Below are 17,621 nucleotides of genomic sequence, written 5' to 3'. Positions count from 1 at the left end.
CACAAAATTTTCCTTGTGCTGTTAGAATGTTATCTGGCTTATGCCACTCTCTCCCCAAGGGTTAACGTGCCTCGTCACAATCATGCAATATTTTTGGATAGGCAGCTTTGAAATTGATCACTAAACTATCAGTTTTGACTGATGTGTTTGATTATTTTGTTTGGGGCAGGGGGGTTAATAACAAATTGCTGTATTGTGGAGCAGAAAAAGGTAGACAAGTTGAACTTTGCTCTATCTAAAGGTATAAAAAATGCAACTAGAAGGAGGAAGGAGCAGTGCTAGAAAAGTATTCCTGATTATGAGTGGAAAAATATAATATTCTATACAGTTTTATCTTGAATAATTTATTGATTGGATTGCCATTGTTTTAATAAAAATATAGTTTATTTGAAATGAAAATTTTCCATTGGTGGTTTTGAAGTTCATTTGAACATCATTAATAAAAATAAGCCATGCATCAAGCCCTCCAAGTGCTGCAGGACTCTAACAAGCCCTGGGAAGGGTTAAAGATCCGTTGCCAACCAGGAAAACAAGCTGGGCTAGGAAATGGAGATCTCAGCAATACCATTCAATCTGGCCATGGCCTTAAGTTGTCATGATAAAGATTAACTACTCTCCTTAGAGTACAGAGGGAACTGATATTTATTTGAAGCAGTTTTCTGAGATCACAGGCCCAGCTTAGGGGTTTGAAAGTCTGCACTGAGCCCTGCTACACCTTCCATTTACTGCTTAAATACTCAGCACCTGGATGCACTCCAGGTCAGGTGAGCCCATAGATAGCTATGCTGTACTCAGCTATTAATGGAATGCCAGGTTCAGAGCATTCCTGCCCTTCTCTCCATAGCCTGAGATGTACGATAGAAAGCCCAGCCATCAGGATTCTCTTCAGTTTTTAGTTTGCACAACAACCACACCACTCCTGAGAAGAAATGGGATCAAAGGGCAATCTACTTCAAGTGAGAGCTTTCTGGGGTTTTATAACAGATATATCACAGTGGCAACTGGAATTACTGGAGAGTCCCTCAGGTGTGGGAGGCAACCGTGGGAGAACACAGAGGTTCACCATGTTATTTTTACATCTTAAAAAAATATGTACACCTAGATACTAATCGGATCTCTCCAGGATTAGGTATAATAAGTAAGGAAAATCTTGAAGGCTGTATTTTATGTACTTTGTTTAAATACCTGTAGAAACTTTTCCCTTTAATACTGAAAAATACTATGACGTTTTCATGTATTGAAGTTCAATTGCTTTGTGAATTCAAAGTCTTTAATATGCATAGAGGCTAACATTGGATATAGCTAATGAGTCCTGTGCTATTTTGAAAAAAAAAAAAAAAAAAACTTGAGGAGAAGAGTTGTAAAGAGTTTGCATGGTGAGTGGAGGAATTGGAACCTCTACTTAGCCAAATGAGATACTTCAAGTATAATGAGTATTTTTCTGGAGCCAAAACAACCAGCCCAGGTAAATTTTAACAAACTTGAAGGACCTGCAAATTTGTTTAGAGTAATATGTTTGAATATTTGTAACTATAACTTGGTGCGAGTATACACTGCATGATATAGAATGGTGACAAGGACATATTTGTAAGGGAAGATCCTCCATGCCAAGACTATAGTTTTCATTGTTAATTTACTTACAAGATATAAGAAATACATTTAGGATTATTAAAAGCCTCTTCATTTCATTCCATTGCCAGTTTATTGCTATTTGAGAACCGAAGTTTTATTCTTTACTTTTAGATGACTGTTGCTTATATAGCTCCTCTTTTCTTAGTCCTCATTTGTCCCTACATGGTGGAACAGAAAGGGTTTATATATTAACAGGTCAAATGTGTTTGTCATCAGAAAATTAAGTACAGAGTAATGATTGGATTAAATGTAAATTTAAGCCTCCATAATTGAAAAAAATAGGAATTTCTAATTTCTGCTTAAGTGGATTTTATAGATTAAACAAGAGGCTGAACTTTTGGAGGTAGAATGAGTGAGTGATGTGCAAGTGGCTAAGTGGCAGCTGTAAGGATGGTTTCTTTTTCCCCCACCTTCCTCTTCCCGGGCCTCCTCTTCCTTCTTCTTTTTCTTTCTCTCCTTCTAAATAATCTCACTAAGTATCTTGATTTTTTTGCAGAATAAAGCAGGTTATAAGTAAGTATGGCAATAGCCCTTTTTTGTGGGAGATATGTTCCAAGGCCCCCAGTGGATGCCTGAAGCCAAGAATAATACCTGTATTAGTTCATTCTCACACTACTATCAGGAACTGGTAACTTATAAAGAAGCTGGGTAATTTATAAAGAACCTGGGTAATTTATAAAGAAAAGAGGTTTAATTGGCTCATGGTTCCACAGGCTCTACAGGAAGCACGGCTCAGGAGGCCTCAGGAAGCTTACAATCATGGCAGAGGGTGAAGGGGAAGCAGGCACAGTCTTTCCCATGGCCAGAACAGGAGGCAAAGAGGGAGCAAGAGGAAGAAACAAGGAGGTGCTACACTTTTAAACAACCAGATCTCATAAGAACTCTTATCACCAAAGCAGCAAGGTGGAAATCTGCCCCCATGATTCAGTCACCTCCCACCAGGCCCCTCCTCCAACACTGGTGATACAATTCTACATGAGATTTGGGTGGGGACGCAGGGCCAAATCGTATCAATACCCAACCTTATATACACTATGTTTTCTTGATCTGACAACCTAGTCAACTAATGGGTAGGTAGCATATACAGCATAGATATGCTGGACAAAGGGATAGTTTCATGTCTCAGTTTCATGTTTCATTACACTACTCAGAATGGCATACAATTTAAAACTTATGAACTGTTCATTTCTGGAATTTTCCTTTAAATATTTTTGGACCATGGTTAACCTCAACTAACTGAAACCATAGAAAGCAAAACTGATAAGGAGGGACAACTGTAAAAACCTCCTAACTGAAATATGACCAACCTTGAGAGATTCTCTCTATGCCTTGGCAATATTTTTGAATCACAGCTTTATTTTCAAAAATAAAATGCTTCACTTTTTCCTCTCAACTCTGAGGACAACTGTTAGATTAATCATCAAAACTCTACTTTATTTTTTAAATTCTGTGATCTGACATCGATTATAATATCTCATTTCAAAGGCTAATGATCCTTCATTGACATCTTTGTATCATCCCCATTTCTAAATGGCACAGGTTATAGAGAACTATGTAAAAGATTAGGTTGTCTTTTGGTTATTTCTCAGATATGATTCTAATTTTAAAAAATAGAGCCAAGCTTGGCACTGTATACCCATTATGTAAATTGCTTGTAATACATGTGAAGTCATCAGATCAATACATTGAAACAGTCCAATATTGGTTTTCCTTGATACCATTTATTCTGATATGGTGTACCAACTCTGACCTGAGGTGCTTGTTAGGAAACGAAATAAATGGAAGTGGAGTTTGTATGCCATATTATAATGGAATGGAGATTGCATTATAATTCCCCAAATGGATACTAGCTATTTTAAATACAATACCTATAATGATTTCTGGGCCATCGTTACCTAGTGATTATAATCTTGTTCTAGCTCCACAGGCATTACCTCAGTCCACACCATCATTATCTCTCATCTAGTCTTCTTTAATAGTTTCCAACCTGCCCCTTTATAATTTATAGTCCACATATCTGCTAGAATAATCCTTAAAAAATGTAAAGATTATGTCCGCTTAAAAATCTTGAAAAGCTTCCCCTTGTAGTGTTGTAAAATCCAACTCCTTGCCTGCCCTGTGAGACCTGCATGATCTCGCTTCCCTCCTCTGATCTCATCTCATCCTTTCCCCTCAATGACCACACTTCAGTGACACTGGCTTTCTTTCAGGTTCTAAAATGTGCCAAGCTCTTTCCAAATTTAGGACTTTACACATGCTTTCCCCACTTGTAGTTCCCTGACTCCCATCCACACCCTATTCCCATGAGTAGTATCTTATTTTCTTACAAAGTTCTTTGGCTTAAATGTCACCTCTGGAGAGGGGCCTTCTGTAAGCAACTTTCCAAAACTGTTTCATGTCTATTAGAACTCGTGTTTGTTTTCTTTATAACTTTGCAAAGAACTTATAATTTGTGATTGTATATTTGTTCATATAGTAGTACTAATATTTTAAGTACCTCCCAATCTGTTTCTTTATCAGTTCTCTCTCCCTGATCCTGATCTGCCATATAGCTCCAGAAAGTAAAAAATGAGAGCAAGTACTTGTTTATAATAAGTCAGTAGGCTTGAAAACCAGGCTTGGAATATAGAGAGCATCTACAGTCCTTTAGCTCCTTGTTAATGTTTTAAGTACTAGATTTTAATTGTCTGTGTAAAAACATACAATTTTATATAAGGATAGTCAAATTAAAAAAGGCAGTGAATAGAGCCCTCATTCCTTCCAAGCCCTGGGGAAGTGAAGAAAGAAGAGAACTTGATAGAGGCGGGAGGGTGAAGATACTGGATATCTGGGTTTGGAAACCTCCTCTGTAGGCTTCAATTAGAAGAGATGGGTACCACCAAAGCCAACTGCTCAGTCACCCCTAGTTTGGGAGAATTACAAAGAGATCATTGAGTGGAGGACCCTCACTTTGACATGGGAGACCCAGCATTGTCAAGAAGGTAGAATGACTTGTCCAGACAGAAAGGTCTAGCTTATGCTTCCAAACTTCCTTTGTTTCCTATATTGGGTGAACATTTTGTTGAGAGCTAGAGATTCTGCCAAGTAGCACCCTGTGGGCCTACAGCAGAAACAGGAATGGATTCCCTGGGCCTTGAGAGCATCTACAGGGCTTGATAGCATCTAAGAATCCTACAGCTAGAGATAGACAAGTTTGGACCACTGTAGTGGGGAAGCGTCAAAAGAATAGGTAAATAATTCACAGATTGCCAATAGGGGCTGATGCCTAGGCTGGATCAGATAAGTCACTCCTTATTGAATTCTGGATTAGCCACTGAGACTATCAAAGATATGGAGGGCACAGTGGGGTTCAAAGGATTCTTCACCATGCCTCTAGAAGTCACATAAGCCTCGTACTCAACATATATCCTGACACTACCTTAGACAGGAAGGCAGAGGGAGTGGGGATGGCCTGAAAATAAGAGAGGTTGGGTTATTATCCAGAAAAGACTGAATATTACTTAAAAAGATTGTTTAAAATAGTGGGACTAAGTTATAAACAACATTGTACTAAATGAAGTTTCTTTTCTTATGCTAGGTAGGGACTCTGAAAAAGACCTAGTTAATTATAAACAATATAAAATACTTACAATTTTTCTGCTTATATGAGTTGAGGTGTGATGAATTTTGCCTTTCTCTTATAATTACTATACATATCATCTATGAGGACAAGAGTCACATGGCCATGTCCCTAGCTCCTGATATACTGCTGGTATAAAACAAGTGTCCAACATCTTTGCTGAGTGAATGAATGAATACTACTTAAGAGTGCTGCACAGATATTTCTTGGACAACCATTAAGGAAAAGATAATGTTTAATTAACCAGCTGTGAATGTCTAGGGAACTCAACCTGACTATAATGAACAGTAAAACACTGGCATCAAATCTGATTGCTGCTTCTAGTTCTGTCACTAAATATCTGTGTGGAATGGAGTAAATCTTTTAAATGTCAGCCTCTTCAACAATTTTTATAGCTATTAGTTTCTTTATGTGTTGATACATTATGATTGACTATAAGACTGACAGTGCAGGTGAGACCTTTACCTTGAGAGCTTAGAGAGCTACTTGAACACCCTTGATTAAAGAATGGTCCTCTTCTATCAGGGAAGGTCATCCTCTCCAACCAAGTTTTCAACTTCAGGAGGGTTACGCATGGAACACTGGAGGAAAGGGACACCTGTATAGCCAGACATCAGCTGAATCAACCCTGGTGATCAATGGGTGGTAGATGTTGAAGCCAGATCACCCTCACAGGAGACCTTCACCTTGAGTAGTTGAGTGTTGAGTAGATATTTTCCCACCATCTACTTATCCATCTATTTATTTGGAATAATAACTGTTAAAATAATGTCAGCTTTTCAAAAGAAAGGTGTTATCTAATAAACGTAGTAATGTTAAAAGCCACTCTTAAATAAGAAATCAAAGCCTTTGTTTTGATTCACTTATATTAATTAAGGAAAACTGGCAATAACTCAGATTCTTTCCTTTCTAAAATGACCCTACCTGGGTTATCAGTAATTATATCCAATTGCTATTTACTTTCCCATCTTTCCCCATATATTTAGGTGGAATTTAATGACCCAGTGCTGGGCTCAAGAACCCGACCAAAGACCTACTTTTCATAGAATTCAGGACCAACTTCAGTTATTCAGAAATTTTTTCTTAAATAGCATTTATAAGTCCAGAGATGAAGCAAACAACAGTGGAGTCATAAATGAAAGCTTTGAAGGTAAGTTTGATTCTTCAGAATTTTCTAGTTTTCGCTGCACTGTGAACTGAACAAAGTTAAAATGGAATGTACACAGAAAGCATTTTGGGGTAGGCAAAAAGAATAATATACTGGCACCTTTGTCATCATAATTAAGTGTTTATTGCATTCCTCTTTGAAAATTATTTGTATTATGCACTAAATTGAAAAAATAAAGGATAGTTCTATGGCCCCTGGATTTATAATCTATGACAGTAAGGAGGAGAATTAACATGTTAGACTACATTTTCATAAGGTCTGTTCTCCTTCTCTTCTCCCCCCACACACCAGTTTGGACCTCAAGTACAGAGTTAATTATAGACTCTTTGCTTACGGTACATTATCATCATTGGCCTATGCAGGGCTCCTGTCTTGTTTGTTTGTTTAGCCATTTTATCCCCATATTCCTCTCCTCTTCAACTTCCTCCCTCCCTGTCAGGCAACTATTCTAACGTCTTTAGTGTGTATCTTTTCATTTGTATGTTTTCCTGCAAAATGTGTATTTTTTTAATGAATGAATGCATTTTTCTTTCTGTTTTCATTAAGCACTGTATTTTTAAGGTCTGTCCATGTTGCTATGTATATATCTAATCCTTTGCTTCTGATGAGTAATTTTGCTATGATTATTGTAGTGGATCAGGTCTTGCTAAGATCTAGTCTGATTCTATGACTTCAGTATTTGGTGATTAAGTTAATAATATTCTGTGCCGGGTGCGGTGGCTCACGCCTGTAATCCCAGCAGTTTGGGAGGCCGAGGCGGGCGGATCATGAGGTCAGGAGATCAAGAGCATCCTGGCTAACACAGTGAAACCCCATCTCTACTAAAAATACAAAAAAAATACAAAAAAAAAAAAAAAAAAAAAAAAAAAGCCTGTCCTGGTGGCGGGCGCCTGTAGTTCCAGCTACTCGGGAGGCTGAGGCAGGAGAATGGCATGAACCCGGGAGGTGGAGCTTGCAGTGAGCCGAGATCGTGCCACTGCACTCCAGCCTGGGCGACAGGGTGAGACTCCATCTCAAAAAAAAAAAAAAAAGATAATAATATTCTGGAACCATTCTACTATAATGGACAGACTAAGCCTTTTACTTAAATGTAAAGAGACTTAAAATACAGTAGTCACTTAATTCATTTCTAAAGTCACATTTACTGTTATGTATGCCTAATTGGCTGCAGAAAAATGAATTTAAAATATTTCTCCTTCAGCTTATCTAGAACTTCTTGTTATTAAAAGTTTGCAAGGCCCTTTGTTTATTTAAATGCAGACGTCCTTGCTTACAAACGAAACTGGCAAGATGGATCGCAACTTAGAATCTCGCAGAAATTAGGCTTCTTGCTATTTGCAGTGATTGACTATAAGACTGGCAGTGCAGGAGACACCTTTACCTTGAGAGCTTGCAGAGCTACTTGCACACCTTTATTAAAGAATGGTCCTTTCCTATCAGGGAAGGTCATACTCTTCAACCAAGTTTTCAACTTGAGGAGGGCTACACGTGGAACAGTGGAGAAAGGGGACACCCGCATAGCCAGACATCAGCTGAATCAACCCTGGTGATCAGTGGGTGGCAGATGTTGAAGTGAGATCACCCTCACATGAGACCTTCACCTTGAGTGATGCACTTGACTAATAGCAGATAAAAACAAGAAGCCCATGGACAGACATCTACTTGTCTATGCGTCTTACTACATATTTTGGGTGACTTTGGATCCATTATATGAGCATAAAACTCTGATCATGTAACTTCTTCAACACAAACTGCCAAGCGACAGATTGGAAAGGGCTGCACATGCCTTGGCCATGCGTCATAACCCTCATTAGAGTAAACCTTGTTAATAGTCTCACATTGTTTCTACTCACTATCATCCTGGACAGAGCTGATTCTTAGAATGCCAATGGCAGAACACTTGGGAATTATAACTGGCACAGCAACTCCATCCTTTTGGGGGGCTCTCTATATATATACTTGCCTATGTGAAGATCACATAGGATTAGGCAAACATACCCTTAAGCCATTCTAGGTACTATTAAGGCCTTGTCATTTTCTAAGCATTTACTTAATGAGACATTTCTCTGAATAAAATTTTGATAATTAAAAAAATTATTTCAACACTTACTGATCTGGGGGCAAGGCATAGTGTAAGCACCTGTATTTAATGTCTTCCATTTGTCTGCTTTAAAGAAAAACAAGAGGTGAGAGTATTTCTTTCTCTTGGAAGCTAGAATCAGTTTCTTTAATTTTGTTTGCCAAGTTTAGTAGTAAACTAGCTTTAACTGGTGATACTGAAAGTTGTCCTTGTCATAAGACTACATCTATATCCATAGGAAATATTGGTGTCACCAGTTCACTATTTAATAATAATGTTTTGCTCAAGCCATTTTAATCTGCTCCAGCATGGCCTGGTTCTTATTTGTCATAACTTCACATATGGAAACTTTAGAGGAACAATCATGCAGAGCGGTTTGCCAATACATAAAATTAAATCTTTTGTTCCTAAGATAGAAAAACATCAGTAACTGGGTTGAATTGAATATAGACATATCTGAAAGACAGGCAAAACATGGTTTTGCTTGCTTGGCACTGAAAGCACATTTTCTTAACTATATCACTCCTCTTTTTTTTAAAATAAATTTATGGAGTACAAGATTGTTTAGTAATGAAGTCAGGGCTTTTAGGGTATCTATCACCTGAATATTGTACCTTGTACCCATTAAGTAATTTCTTATTCACTCTCCCACACCCTTACCCTTTCAAGTTTTCATTGTCTATCATTTCATACTCTAGTCTATGTGTACACATTGTTTCAATCCTACTGATGAGTGAGAACATGTGATATTTCTTTCTGTGTTTGTCTTGTTTCATTTAAGATAATTGCCTCCAGTTTCATCCATGTTGCTACAAAATACATGATTTCATTCCTTTTTAGTGGCTGAATAGTATTTCATTGTCTATAACACATTTTCATTATCCAGTCATCCATAGATAGATACTAGGTTGATCTCATACCTTTGCTATTATGAGTAGTACTGTGATAAACATATGAGTGTAAGTATGTTTTTGATATAATGATTTCTTTTCCTTTGGATAGATACCTAGTAATGGAATTGCTGGATTGATTGCTAGATCATATTTTTAGCTTTTTGAGAAATCTCCATACTGTTTTCCGTAAAAGTTGTATTAATTTACATTCCCACCAACAGCATGTAACTGTTCCTCTTTGTCTGCATCCTCGCCAACATCTATTATTTTTGACTTTTTAGTAATGGCCATTCTGACTCGGGGAGGATGATATCTTATTATTATTTTAATTTGCATTTCGCCGATGATTAGGGATTTTGGGCATTTTTCCATATACCTGTTGGTCAGTTGTATGTCTTCTTTTGATAAAACATCTATTCACATCCTTTGCTCACTTTTTAATGGGATTATTTGCTTGTTTGTTGTTGTTGAGTGTTTGAATTCCTTGTATATTCTGGATATTAGACCCCTGTTGAGTGAATACTTTGCAAATATTTTCTCCCATTCTGCAGATTGTCTGTTTATTCCACTGATTATTTCTTTTTCTGCACAAGCTTTTTAGCTTAATTAAGTCACATTTGTCTATTTTTGTTCATGTTGCCTGTGCTTTCAGTGTCTAAGTCATGAATTATTTGCCTAGATCAATATCCAGAAGAGTTTTCCTTAGGCTTTCTTCTAGTATTTTCACAGTTTCATTTATTACATGTAAGTCTTTAATCCATCTTTGAGTTAATTTTTGTATATGGTGAGGGTAAGGGTCCAGTTTCATTCTTCTGCATATATCCAATTTCCCCAGCACCATTTATTGAAAGGGGTGTTTTTCTCCCCAGTATGTGTTCTTGTTGACTTTGCAAAAGATCAGTTGGCTATAAATATGTGGCTTTATTTCTGGATTCTGGATTCTGTTCCATTAAACTATATGTTTATTTTTATACCAGTACCATACTGTTTGATTACTATAGCCTTGTAGTATTATTTTTTAAATTTATTTTTAATTTTTGTGGGTACATAGTAGATGTCTATATTTACAGGGTACATGAGATGTTTTGATACAGGCATGTAATGTGTAATAATCACATCATGGAGAATGGAGTATCCACCCCTCAAGCATTTATCCTTTGTGTTACAAACCAATTTTTTACTTATAGTTATTTTAAAATGTACAATTAAATTATTATTGACTATAGTTACCCTATTGTGCTATCAAATATTTAGTCTTATTCATTCTTTCTCTTTTTTGTACCCAATAACCATCCCCAACTCCCCCACCCTGTCCCTTACTACCCTTCCCAGTTTCTGGTAACCATCCTTCTACTCTCTGTCTCCATGGGTTCAATCGTTTTGATTTTTATATTTCACAAAGAAATGAGAACATGAGATATTTATCTTTCTGTGCCTGGCTTATTTCACTTAACATAATGATCTCCAGTTCCATACATATTCTTGGAAATGACAGGATCTCATTCTTTTTATAGCTGAATAGTACTCCACTGTACTATATGCATATACCACATTTTCTTTATCCATTTGTCTATTTTTTTTTTTGAGACAGTCTCACTCTGTCCCTCAGACCAGAAAGCAATGGCATGATCTCGGCTCACTGCAACCTCCCCCTTTCAGTTTCAAGCGATTCTTATGCCTCGGCATTCCGAGTAGCTGGGACTACAGGCACGTGCCACCACGCCTGGCTAATTTTTGTATTTTTTTTAGTAGAGACTGGGTTTCACCATGTTGGCCAGGCTGGTCTAGAATTCCTGACCTCAAGTGATCCGCCTACCTCTGCCTCCCAAAGTGCTGGGATTACAGGCGTGAGCAACTGAGCCTGGCCTATCCATTTATCTACAGATGGACACTTAGGTTGCTTCCAAATCTTAGCTATTGTAAACAGTACTGCAATAAACATAGGAGTGCAGATATCTCTTTGATGTACTGATTTCCTTTCTTTTGGGCATATGTACAGCAGTGGGATTGCTGAATCAAATGGCAGATCTATTTTCAGTTGTTTGAGGAACCTCCAAACTGTTCTTCTTAGTGGTTGTACTAATTTACATTCCCACCAACAGTGTATGAGGATTCTCTTTCTCCACATCCTTGCTAGCATTTGTCTTGCCTGTCTTTTCAATGTAAGCCATTTTAACTTGACTGAGATGATATCTCAATGTAGTTTTGGTTTGCATTTCTGTGATGATCAATGATGTTGAGCACTTTTTCACATGTCTGTTTGCCATTTGTATTTCTTTTTATTAGAAATGTCTATTCAAATCTTTTGCCCATTTTTTGATCAGACTATTAGCTTTTTTCCTATCGAGTTATTTGAGCTCCCTATGTATTCTGGTTATTAACCCCTTGTCAGATGGGTAGTTTGCAAATATTTTCTTCCATTCTGTGGATTGTCCCTTCACTTTGTTGATTGTTTCCTTTGCTGTGAAGAAGCTTTTTAAATTTGATGTGATCCCATTTGTCCATTTTTGCTTTGACTGCCTGTGCTTGTGGGGTGTTGCTCAAGAAATTTTTGCCCCAACCAATGTCCTGGAGATTTTCCCCAGTATTTTCTTGTAGTAGTTTCATGGTTTGAAGTCTTAGATTTAAATCTTCAATCCATTTTTATTTGATTTTTGTATATGTAGAGAGATAGGGGTCTAGTTTTATTCTTCTACATATGGATATCCAGTTTTCACAGCAGCATTTATTGAAGAGACTGTCTTTTCCCCAGTAGATGTTCTTGGCATCTTTGTAAAACATGAATTCACTGTAGGTGTGTGAATTTATTTCTGTGTTCTTTATTCTGTTCTTTTTTATGTATTCCATTCTGTATATGTACCTTTGATCTATGTGTGAGTTTTTATGCCAGCACTATGCTGTTTTGGTTACTATAGGTCTGTAGTATAATTTGAATCCAGTAATGTGATTCTTTGAGTTTTGTTCCTTTTGCTTAGGATAGCTTTGGCTATTCCGAGTCTTTTGTGGTTCTATATAAATTTTCAGATTTTTTTCTATTTCTGTGAAGAATGTCATTGGTATTTTGATAGGGATTGCATTGAATTTGTAGACAACTTTGGGCAGTATGGCCATTTTAACAATATTGATTCTTCCAATCCTTGAGCATGGAATATTTTTCCATTTGTTTGTGCCTCCTACAATTTCTTTCATCAGTGTTTTGTAGTTTCCCTTGTAGAGAATTTTCATCTCCTTGGTTAATATATTCCTAGGTGTTTCATTCTTTATGTGGCTCTTGTAAATGGCATTGCCTTCTTGATTTAATTATCAGCTAGATTATTTTTGGTATATAGAAATGCACTGAATTTTTGTACATTAATTTTGTATCCTGAAACTTTACTGAATTTATTTATCAAATCTCAGAGTTTCAATGATAAGAGCACGCTAATATCCCTGATGAACACAGATGCAAAAGTTCTCAACAAAATACTGGCAAGCCAAATCCAAGAACACATGAAAAAGATAGTATACTATGATCAAGTAAGATTTATCCCTGGGATGCAAGGATAGTTCAACATATGTGTATATGTTGAAGACACATTTTGTGGAATCTTTAGGTTTTTCTAGATATAAGATAATATTATCTGTGAATGCCTTTTATGAGATGCCTTTTTATTTTCTTTCCCCTGCCTGGTTGCTCTGGCTAGGACTTACAGTACTATGTTGAATAAGAGTGGTGAAAATGGCCATCCTTGTCTTGTTCTAGTTATTAGAGAAAATGTTTTCAACTTTCCTCCATTTAGTACAATGTTGGCTATGGATTTGTCATATATAACCTCTATTATTTTGAGATATGTTCCTTCCATGCCTAATTTTTTGAGAGCTTTTATTATGAAAGAATGCTAAATCTTGTCAAATGCCTTTTCTGCCTCTGCTGATATGATCATATGGTTTTTGTCTTTCAGTCTGTTGATGTAATGTATCATGTGTCTTCAACATATACACATTTGTTGAACTATCCTTGCATACCTGGGATAAATCTTACTTGATCATAGTGTGCTATCTTTTTCATGTGCTCTTGGGTTTGGCTTGCCAGTATTTTGTTGAGAATTTTTGCATCTGTGTTCATCAGGGATATTAGCGTGCTCTTATCATTAAAAGCAACAAATAAGGCTCAAATTTTTTGACAGATAAGGCTCAAATTCTTTGTGACTATAATTTTATAGACTTTATTAATTAACACAATCATGACCTTCTTAAAAGTTTAAAAACAATTTTTATGTTATTTTACAACCATAAAAATGACTTCTGATTCCTTTCTATTTTTCTTGTAACTTTTCCAGTAATCTCAGTAACTGTTCTTGCTGTATTATTTTATAATTGTATCTACATTTTAAAGATCTTTATTGTAAAAGTAATTTATGTTTATTATAAAAAATATAAAATTACTTAAGCAGTCTAAAAAGTAAAAGTTTCCTAATTCATCCTTATCTCACTCCCCAGTGCTAGCCAGAGCTAACAATTTGGTTATATATTTGCAGATATTGTATGTGCATATATAGCCATTTACAGAAATGCTCATTTATGTATGTTTGTATATATACTATCTGGATTCAGATACTAAATTTAGGTAATCTAAAGGAATTCATGGGCTGTAGATTCTGTAGTAGGTTCTCCAGCATTTTTTTCTTACAAATAAGCTTATTTTTAAGGATTTGGTGAGAAGATGATTTTGTATTACATCTTCTGCCAGAATCCAGGAAATGAGCATTCTATGTTGTTATTGAGAAGAAATCCATGTTCTGTGGGAGTCCAGAGGAAGGATGCCAAGTCTACACTATGGCAGAGGGAGAGTCAAGAAAAACCATTGGGAGGAGGTTACATCTAAGCTGAGACCTACTTAGAAGCTTAGGTATGAAAAAGAGAAGCTGAGGTATCCTATGTATTTCAGGATAGAAGAAGCAGCATGTAGAAAGGCAGGGAATAATAGAGAATGAGGTATTCATAGAACTGCACTTTGTTTATTATACATGAGAATGTGGCAAGTGATAAAATTGGAGGGTTATTGGTCACACTAATCAAAAGTAAGGAATGAAAAGTAATGAAAGCTGAATTAATGAATGGTAACAGGTGTAGAGAGAACAAAAAAGAGTCCGGAGTTACCACAGAGGTAGATGCTATCGGACTTGGCAACTAAGTGCGTAAAAAAGAGAAAGGAGAAAGTTGGTAAAAATCAACGCTATTCCTGGAGATGAGGAACATAGGAAGAGGAACAGTTTTGCATATGTTTGGTTTGAGTTGGCTTGGCATATCTAAGCGGAGAAGTCCAGGACACAGTCAAGATATGGGTTCATACTCAGTTGAAAGGTCTGTCCTGTAAATATAGATGGTTGAAGTCCAGGGTGCAGACTAGGTCATTAAAGTAGAGTGTATGAAATAAGAAGAGAGTGACAAGTGGGTGGAACCCAGAGAGCAGCCGGTATAGGAGGGGCTTACAAAGATGGTGGACATGGGGAGGAGCAGCCAGAAAGGGAAGAGGAAAGCCATAGGGAGTGTTGTTATGGAAATCCAGAGGAGAGAGGCTTAGAAAGGAAAGAGTGAACAAATGCTGCAGAGAGGTAAAGCAATCCAGAGGGTTGCACAGATTTTGCAGTTGACTTGTATTCTAAAATTCAACTCTTTGCTCATGGAATCCTTTCCTTCTAATGTGCAAAGATACATTATAAAAGTCACAGAGGGCCAGGCGCTGTGGCTCATACCTGTAATCCCAGCACTTTGGGAGGCCAAGGCGGGCAGATCACAAGGTCAGAAGATCGAGACCATCCTGGCTAACATGGTGAAACCGCGTCTCTACTAAAAAATAGAAAAAATTAGCTGGGCATGGTGGTGGGCGCCTGTATTCCCAACTACTAGAGAGGCTGAGGTAGGAGAATGGCGTGAACCTGGGAGGCAGAGCTTGCAGTGAGCCGAGATCGCACCACTGCACTCCAGCCTGGGCGACAGAGTGAGACTCCATCTCAAAAAAAAAAGAAATGAAAAGAAAAAAAAAATGTCACAGAGGTTGCCATAATGGGTGTTAGCAGGCCTGAGAGCTTAGCTTCACCTTAGGTTCTACTTGAAGTCTCCACGGACCCTTGAGAAAATCTTTTCACCATTTTGCATTGCATAGTTCATCTATGAGGCAGAGATAGGTAAGAAACAATGCTCACACTCAATATAAAGAGTAAAATACCTCTGTGAAAGGCTTTTAATTAGAATAGTAGCTAATTTTATTTTAGTACTTTTCCATGTGCCACTCACTGTGCTATGTAGGTTAACTCATTAAATCTTTATAACAGCCTTATGAAGCGGATATTACTATATCACCATTTTACAGATGAGAAAACTGAGGTTTAGTGACTTGCTCATAATCATACTGCTGAAATAGGGCTAGAGTTTGTCTCCATTGTTGAGCCTTTCCTCTCAGCCTTCACAAATCCCTGGCTGTAGTAGGGAAATGGCCCAAACAATATCCCCAGTTATGTTACCAATAGTGTACTGCACAGCTAGGTATAATGAAAGCAATGATTACTTATGACCTGCTAGAAAATATACACCATTTTTTTCTGGTTATACCAAATCTATTTAGGTACCAAGTTGTTGGCAGAAAGAATTAAAATTCTAAGTAATATTCCCAACAATAGAGAAGCAGACAAATATTCAAAGTAATGATGCAGGAAGAATTTAACAGGGAATATCATCAAACTATAACAATTTAGAAAGAAACAAGCATTTCTGGGCCATGACAGAAATAAAATTTTAGGAAAAGAGAAATTGCTGTTCTGTTATTTACAATGAATGTAAATCCTGAAGATAAGGAATGAAAAGAGATGTGGAAATCACTAAATTGATAATTGAGTTTGTGACTGAGCAAGAAAGGCAGGGAAGAGAGAAAAAACTGAATTAAAGGCGGAGTTTGCATATCTGCAAAGGATAGAAATAGTGCAACAGACCTTTCAAGGCAAACCTAAACTTAATTATTTTTTCAATAAAAAATAATGTGTTTAATAATAGCTTACTGCTTTGCAGACTGGTGGGCATATTTAGCAAAGCAATAAAATGACTGTCTTCATTGTTGTTGTTGGAGATATGTACGTAGAGAAGAAAAGCTATTGAAAGGACTTTTTAAAGCAAAGAAGTGGGGGTGCTTAGAAAAACAGGGAGCAATAATACCATGCCTATCCTGTGGTCCTACTGACCTAATGGGGTGGAAAGGGGATAGAGAGAGAAGATTAGTAACATATCTGGGCATCTAGTAAAAATATCCCAGTGACTTCATCCAAACATTTGTGTAAACATCACCTCATCAGTCCCAGAGAGTTCTACAGGAAACAAATCTAAATGCTCCTCTGCTGTTCTAAACATAGCCAGTCAGCCGGCATATGTCTAGTCTGTAAATACCCCGTCTTACTTGGAAGTCTTTATTTTAATATTTCTCTCTTAAAGAGGTTGCCCAGTGCATGCTATCTTTGTTGAGGATATCTGCCTTAAGATCTGACCCATAGACTACTTATTAAATAATTTTTAAACAAAAGCAAACAAATAAGACAACCTATCTCTACTATCGCAGTCTCTTGTAAGCTCTTTTTGCAACAAGAAGATGTACTAATTGCTGAAAGCTTGCCAGGGTCAAGTTACTAAATATTGCTACAAGTACTATAAACCAATAAAGTAGTTAGCTAATGATTTTTCTTTGACACATAACAACAGAATTTGCAAAAAGAATTTATTTGCCTCATATAAAATATTATTTTTCAGAAAATTCAATAAGCAAAAAAGTTTAAAAAATTAAAATCATGTTTTAGTAGGAAGTTTTCCAATATGCTCATTCATGGATTAAATGTATGACAATGAAATAGCTGATATGAGTGGGTAGACTATATTGTAGATTTAAGTTTTTGTTGAAATTCTAAACTTTCCTTTAGACTGATTTCTTTAAGCCTATTAAGAACATCCTAATTTCCCCAATTATTGGATTACTGTACTACTTAAAGTTAAATATCTTATTTTTTCCTAACATTTAAAAATATTTTCCATTGCTATTATTACATATACCAAGTTATTCTTATGGGCATCTTAATGACTATTAGTGCATATTGGCAATAATCATAACAGTTGAATACCTTCCACAGGTGTTGAATACCTTCCACAGGTGTTCAACACCCAGGTACTAACCAAACTTGGCATCTGATGAAGTTCTTTCTATTAGGGAGA

At 36.7% G+C, this 17,621-nt stretch overlaps 1 protein-coding gene and 2 pseudogenes across 11 annotated transcripts in view; 1 reads left to right on the top strand and 2 right to left on the bottom strand.

Annotated features, from left to right (window-relative positions):
- Positions 1 to 17,621, top strand: part of ROS1 (ROS proto-oncogene 1, receptor tyrosine kinase) — a 138,590-nt gene that overhangs the window by 118,568 nt on the left and 2,401 nt on the right. For 10 of the 11 annotated variants that reach the window (XM_017011173.2, XM_017011172.2, NM_002944.3 and 7 more), the window contains one exon: positions 6,238 to 6,401. The exons of the other annotated variant lie outside the window; for it this stretch is intronic. In XM_017011173.2, the coding sequence (XP_016866662.1) occupies positions 6,238 to 6,401 (164 nt within the window). The remainder of the gene's footprint in view (positions 1 to 6,237; positions 6,402 to 17,621) is intronic. 11 annotated transcript variants of the gene reach the window in all.
- On the bottom strand, positions 5,617 to 5,920 carry RN7SKP51 (RN7SK pseudogene 51; annotated as a pseudogene).
- RN7SKP18 (RN7SK pseudogene 18) lies at positions 7,737 to 8,011 on the bottom strand (annotated as a pseudogene).

Source organism: Homo sapiens, chromosome 6, assembly GCF_000001405.40.
Source record: "Homo sapiens chromosome 6, GRCh38.p14 Primary Assembly".
Classification (NCBI taxonomy): Eukaryota; Metazoa; Chordata; class Mammalia; order Primates; family Hominidae; genus Homo; species Homo sapiens.
Note: the sequence above shows the minus strand (reverse complement) of the source record. Positions and strands in the feature narration are given on the sequence as shown.